A 7,041-nucleotide genomic window follows, 5' to 3' on the forward strand; every position below is an offset into this window, starting at 1 on the left:
GGTCAGCGCTTTACTCCTTTCACGGTTGGGTCATGTTCCATTGCACGGTGGGGCCACAATGTATGGATTCATTCACCTGTTGGTGGACACTTCAGTTGTTGCCACCCTTTGGCTGGTGCTGTGAACAGGGGTGTACAAATAGCTGTTTGAATCAGTTTTCACATCTTTTAGGGTCCGCACTCTGTTTTTCTTTTTTTTTGTTTCTTGTTTTTTTGTTTTGTTTTGTTTTGTTTTTTCTTTCTTTTTTGAGACCGAGTCTTGCTCTGTAACCAGTCTGGAGTACAGTGGCACGATCTCAGCTCACTGTAACCTCCGCCTCCTGTGTTCAAGTGATTCTCCTGCCTCAGCCTCCCGAGTAGCTGGGACTACAGACATGCGCCACCATGCCCGGCTAATTTTTGTATTTTTAGTAGAGACGGGGTTTCACCATGTGGGCCAGGATGGTCTCAATCTCTTGACCTTGTGACCCGCCCGCCTCAGCCCCGCAAAGTGCTGAGATTACAGTCGTCAGCCACTGCGCCCAGCCTGCACTCTCTATTTTTTAATTGCTCCTCTGGGTCTGGGGATGGCTCATTCCTCTGTGTTGTGGAGCCTGTGTAGGCCCAACCCGTGTGTCCATGCAGGGAATCTGACTGGGCTCTCCCCCTCCCACCAGGAGGACCTGCTGGTCCCGCGCAGCCCCACCCTCAAGGCCCAGGCCTCCCCAGGCTGCGCTGTCCTTACTGCAATGCTGTCCTGGGCTTGGACACCTTCCTCAGCTTTGGTAACCCACAGGCACACGGGTGCACACGTGGGCCTTGCATTCCCCGTGCTTCAGATCCATCAGCCCCGGATCCGGGTGGAGGGCTTGCTCTATCGCATTCCTCCCGTTTGTGCAGATCTCTCACCTGTGCCTGTCTCCTCCCCGAGGTGAGCCTCCTCATGCAGAAGCAGGCCTGGGTGCCGGTTATGTGGTCCTTATTGTGGTGGCCATCTTCGTGCTGGTGGCGGGAACAGCCACCCTTCTGATCGTGCGCTACCAGAGAATGAATGGGAGATACAACTTTAAAATCCAGTCCAACAACTTCAGCTACCAGGTGTTCTACGAATAGGAGGCGCAGGCTGACAGGAAGGTGGGTGCGGAGTGGGGTGGGAGGTGCAGGCTGACAGGAAGGTGGGTGTGGAGTGGGGTGGGAGGTGCAGGCTGACAGGAGGGTGGGTGCGGAGTGGGGTGGGAGGTGTAGGCTGACAGGAAGGTGGGTGTGGAGTGGGGTAGGAGGTGCAGGCTGATAAGAAGGTGGGTGCGGAGTGGGGGCATCTGATGTGCATGTCCTGCCTTGCCATCCATGGTGATGGGGACGGCCAGCAGGATTCAGCCAAGGGTAGATATGTGTGTGTCTGTGTTTTGTGGCCCTTTACGGAGCGTGCAGCCTCCCTTCTGAAAAAGCAACCAGGAGCAGGCAGAGAGGGGAAACTACAGGTAGGTTGGTGAAGGTTCGATCGCTTCACACACCCACTGGACTGGCTCCACGATACCAGCGGCAGTGCTATATGGGTGACCACAGGACCCAGGGGCCCACCACAAATCCCATCTCTGCCACCCACTCTCTTGACCACCCGGGCAAGGTCCTGAGCCTCTTGGTGCCTCGGTTTCATCATTTGTAAAAGAAACCATGGTAACATTTCCGGCCACGTGGAGGGTGTGAGATTTAAATGGGAAGATGCCCAAGAGGCCCCGCTATGGGGTCTGACGCCCTCAATTGCTGGTGGATCCTAACGATGGTCCTCGGCCGAGTGTCCCTGAAACCTGGTGCTCGTAGGGATTGTCACGTGTGGTGTGGATGCCACAGTGGACCCCCCACACCTTGCTGCTCATGCCCGCAGCCCCGACTTATGTATGACCTTTTGAGGCTGAAGATGCTTCTCTGATCTGCCCTGTGGACTTTTGTTTTTCCTGGGCCTGCACATAGTTCACCACAAATGAATGACAAGCATTATGGAGGGCAGTATGGTTAGTATAAACCTTCAGTGGGAAACACCAAGACTGGGACTTTTGTAAAGATTTTCAGATTTTTTTTTTTTTTGAGATGGAGTTTTGCTCTTGTTGCCCAGGTTGGAGTGCAGTGGTGCGATCTTGGCTCACCACAACCTCCACCTCCCAGGTTAAAGCGATTCTCCTGTCTCAGCCTCCTGAGTAGCTGGGATTACAGGCATGCGCCACCACACCCAGCTAGTTTTGTATTTTTAGTAGATACAGGGTTTCTCCATGTTGGTCAGGCTGGTCTCCAACTCCTGACCTCAGGTGATCCACCCGTCTCGGCCTCTCAAAGTGCTGGGATTACAGGCGTGAGCCACCGTGCCCGGCCAAATTTTGAGATTTTTCTAAAAAAAGAACATGCCTGTAATCCTAGCACTTTTGGAGGCCAAGGCAGGAGGATCGCTTAAGCTTAGGAGTTCCAGACCAGCCTGGGCAAGATAGAAAGACTCCATCTCTACAAAAAATACAAAAATAAGCCGGGTGTGGTGGCACACACCTGTGGTCCCAGCTACTTGGGAGGCTGAGGTGGAAGGATCCCTTGAGCTCGAGAGGTGGAGGTTGCAGTGAGCCGAGACTGCCCCACTACACTCCAGAGGGGAACCCTGCCTCAAAAATAAATAAATACTAATAAAAGAAGAAGAGAAGCAATCATGAGGCTTATCTGGCAGCGTGTGAGACTGCTGACTCCAAATGCTGTAAGGGAAGCATGCGGCTTCGGCTTCTGGGGAGGCCTCAGGAAACTTACAATCATGGCAGAAGACCAAGGGGAAGCAGGCACGTCTTCCATGGCTGGAGCAGGAGGAAGGGGTTGGGGCAGGTGCTACAGATGTTTAATCAACCAGATCTTATGAGAGCTCTATCGTGAGACAGCACCAAGAGGATGGTGCTAAATCATTTATGAAGGATCCGCCCCATGATCCAACCACCTCCCACCAGGCCCCACCTTTAATATGGGGATCACATTGAACATGAAATTTGGGTGGGGACACAGACCCACACCATATCAACTGCCCACCCTCTCAGCCAACAGGAGAACAAGGAAAGACGAGAGGCCAATTTTCCCTCGATGTTTTAATTTCAAGGAGGGGGACATCCAGCATGACCCAGCACCGACCCACCAGATGTCCTTAGAAAGCTAGTGGGATAGTGTTGGCCTCATCGCTGGGATTCGCATCTTAAATATTAAGTAAAAGGCACTGACATTTCCTCGTAACTCTATCTAGGGAGGTGACTGGTCTCTAGCACTGGTCCCGTCTATGCTGTAAGGGTCCTGAGACCCCAGAATACTGCGCATGTTAGTTACCAGGAGTCCTGGCAGGAGAGACGGGAAAGACAAAGCTAACACAAGCGTCCCCCTCACATGGGCAGAATCACTTCCACAAGCGGGTGGCGTTTTCTTTGAAGTTGCCCAGCAAGGGCAGCATGGAGGTTGCCTTTTGGAAACGTGTGCTGTAGTCTGGGCTTTGCTGGTGACCTGGGAGGATTGGCTTGAGTTCTCTGGGCCCCATTTCCTCATTTTAAGATTGGAGCCAGTGTCTACTACACTTTGCTGAGTTGTTTCAAAAATCTGTTATCTCAAGAAAATAAGGACCTGAGCACAGGAAAGATGGGCTGGGCTGGAGAAGCTGCCTGCCCGACGAAGAGGGGGTGGGCTGATGTTGACAATGTCTGTTGTTTCCCAACATCCCCGTGAGGTTGTGCTGTTATTAGCATCCTGTGTTATAGATGGGAATCCAGGGCAGAAAGGGATAGACGTCCCAGGTCACGTGGCTAGGAGGTCCAGGGCAAGAAGGGATAGGTGTCCCAGGTCACGTGGCTAGGAGGTCCAGGGCAGGAAGGGATGTGTCCCAGGTCACGTGGTTGGGAGGTCCAGGGCAGGAAGGGATAGGCCTCCCAGGTCACATGGCTGGGAGGTGGCCGAGCTGGGGCTGCATGGGATTTCCGTTTGGCTCTGGGGTCAGCTCTCTTAGCTACCAAGCTTAGAGCCTTTCTTACACTAGTGTTCACATGACTGATGGACCCTTAGAACAATGCCCCTTGCCTTTCCCCTTCATCAGAGACCCGGAGAATTTGTATTTTAGCAGCTGTGCAAGGGGATCCACAATTCTTAATTCTTGCAGTGGGGACACCAGGTGTCCCAGTTGAGAGGCAGCAACTGTTGTGGTTACAGGGAAGGAGCCTTCCCAGGACCCCTGAGCCTCCCCGGGAGGCAGGTGCTGCTGCTCAATTGTGGTCTGGGTCCTCAGCCACCTCCGGGGATCCCAAAGGGGCAGGGAACAACAGCGAAGTTTCAGTTCAACTTTACACTCTAATAGTGAAAAATAAGGAAGCTTCCTCAGTTTGGTAGCTTTTGGCCTCTGGTTTGGGGCCCATGGGGTTTGGGCCATGAAGACCCCCTCCTCACCAACCCCATTGCCTCCCATCCTGGGCAGGAGACATTGTCAATACCAGCCCGCCCCCTCTTCGTCAGGCAGGCAGCTTCCCCAGCCAAGCCCGTCTTCCCTGTGCTCAGGTCCTTATTTTCTTGAGATAACAGATTTTTGAAACAACTCAGCAAAGTATAGTAGACACTGGCTCCAATCTTAAAATGAGGAAATGGGGCCCAGAGAACTCAAGCCAATCCTCCCAGGTCACCAGCAAAGCCCAGACTACAGCACACGTTTCCAAAAGGCAACCTCCATGCTGCCCTTGCTGGGCAACTTCAGAGAAAACACCACCCGCCTGTGGATGTGATTCTGCCCATGTGAGGGGGATGCTTGTGTTAGCTTTGTCTTTCCCGTCTCTCCTGCCAGGACTCCTGGTAACTAACATACGCAGTATTCTGGGGTCTCAGGACCCTTACAGCATAGACAGGGCCAGTGCTAGAGGCCAGTCACCTCCCTAGATAGAGTTACGAGGAAATGTCAGTGCCTTTTACTTAATATTTAAGATGCGAATCCCAGCGATGAGGCCAACACTATCCCGCTAGCTTTCTAAGGAAATCTGGTGTATTGGTGCTGGGTCATGCTGGATGTCCCCTTCCTCGAAATTAAAACATCCGAGGGAAAACTGGCCTCTTGTCTTTCTTTGTTCTCCCGGGGCTCCTGTCTTTCGAAGTGAGAACTGTCTCACCAGTTCTAAAGTTCCTGCAGACATCTGCTCTTTGAAAACCATCAGCCAACCCACCCACCCCCACCAGGTCGACCCTTGGGCAGCCCCACTCAGAGATGTTCCCAGAGTCCTGGTGGGTTCTCCACGGATGGTGCAAAGGTGCAGGGGCCCCAGCTGTGCTCGTCTGGCTCAGGTATCTTCACCAGCCACCCCCACCAGTTGGCGTGTCAGGAGCATCGCTCACCTGAGGGCAGGCACAGCCCCATGGTCCCCGTTCCACTGGGCACTCTGGGAGTGGCTGCCTTTTCATTAGGGGCTTGATCTGTCCCTCTCCAGTAAACATAGACGCCATGTCCTCGGGTTGGTGTTTCCTCCACTACCCCTCCTCCTGGGGTTTTCTGTATTAACTTTACCTTTCCTGCGTGCAAGCTGACCCAGGTGACCTCTTCCTCCACACAGGTCGCCGTGAGTCAAGCTGCCTCCAGAACCTCAGAGCTTCCCTGGTGGGCTCCCCCGGGATCCCCAGTGTCTCTCTGCACCTCCACCCATCCCTCGGTTCTTAACTCTTCAAGCCTTAACGGAGGTCTGCTCTGACGGGTGGGCTCTGCCAGAGCCCGGGTGAGCCCAGAAAGGAAGACAGCAGCCACCGTCTGTCCCGAAGAGGCAGGCCGTCCTGTAGGTCCTAGAGGAGCCACAGCCCAGGGGCAGATGAAGGGGCTGCGGAAGACGGGGGCAGTCCTGGGGGTGCTGCGGCTACACCACCACCCGCGCGGCCCCCGCAGCCTAGACCTCCCAGGCCTGTGACCCTCCACACCAGCCCTCAGAACCCTCCTGGGCTTGCCCTCCCTTGGCGTCCGTCACCCTTTGGCAAATATAGAATATTTCACATTCTCAGAGAGACCCGACCGCGCTCTTGATGCTCTTTCGAAAATAGGTCAGTCTTAGAAATACACTGCTAATGTTATTTTTAGTGGATGTTTATGCTGTTTGACTTTTCTCCTGTGTACCAAGGTATTGCTTTTATTTACACGACAGCGACTCAAAAGGCACTCGATTAATGTGACAACCTTTTCAATAAGCAGAAATAACGTAGGTACACATCACTCTTTACATTTTTCTAAGCATTTTCACAGCCGTTTCTTCATATAATCCGACCACAGTGGGAGGTGTGATTTACCCATTACACAATGAGAAACCAGAGGAGCCGATGAGTTACTTAATTGAGGTCACAGAATGAATTAGCAAGAAAATGGTTCTAAAATCTAAGTATTTTAGTCTAGAATTTTCTCCATTACATCATCCTAAGAGATAATGCTCTGTACTTCATTTGAAATAAACTGGAATTGTATTAGATAGCTCACACCTGAAAGTAGAGTGTTTTTCCTCAGTGAACTTAGAATTATAACATGGCCTTAGTTTTCAACCCATGATACTAATTTTGTTGAATATAATTAATTGTCATTCATACAGAACATTTGGGGAAAGGAGTATTTTGATTTACTGGATATTCTCAGAGTCAGTAAAGAATGACAGTGGGTAATATGTGTGGATCACAGATTCTGATCAAGTAGAATCAATCGCATAAGACACTGAAATGTGGCTGGTTGTGCTGGATGCTCCATTTGGGATGGTCCATCACAGGCTCGCTGAGCATCCAACGAGGGCCGGTGCTGTGTTGGGCACGCTGGGGAGGCCAGAAACGCATCTCTGGTTCTTCCCAAGTCATGTCCCGCTGTTCTGATGTCAGCTGAGGAGCTTTCACTTGCCTTTCTTGGAAGAGCATGACACATATTCAGTAAAACCAGCTGTTGAGCCCCATGACTGTGTGGCTCTTTGGATTTCAGATAAAGTCATTGACATATATTTAAAAACCCTGTCTTTCAAACTTCATCTACAGTTTTCAAGTAATTTTTTTTTTTTTGAGACAAAGTCTC

The 7,041-nt window shown here is 51.9% G+C and overlaps 1 protein-coding gene across 6 annotated transcripts in view; it reads left to right on the top strand.

Annotated features, from left to right (window-relative positions):
• The window catches only part of UMODL1 (uromodulin like 1), an 80,120-nt gene extending 73,653 nt beyond the window's left edge, over positions 1–6,467 (top strand). For all 6 annotated transcript variants that reach the window (NM_001199527.3, NM_001199528.4, NM_173568.4 and 3 more), the window contains 2 exons: positions 910–1,112; positions 5,567–6,467. In NM_001199527.3, the coding sequence (NP_001186456.2) occupies positions 910–1,091 (182 nt within the window). In that variant the 3' untranslated portion in view covers positions 1,092–1,112; positions 5,567–6,467. The remainder of the gene's footprint in view (positions 1–909; positions 1,113–5,566) is intronic.

This window comes from Homo sapiens, chromosome 21 (assembly GCF_000001405.40).
Source record: "Homo sapiens chromosome 21, GRCh38.p14 Primary Assembly".
Lineage (NCBI taxonomy): Eukaryota > Metazoa > Chordata > Mammalia > Primates > Hominidae > Homo > Homo sapiens.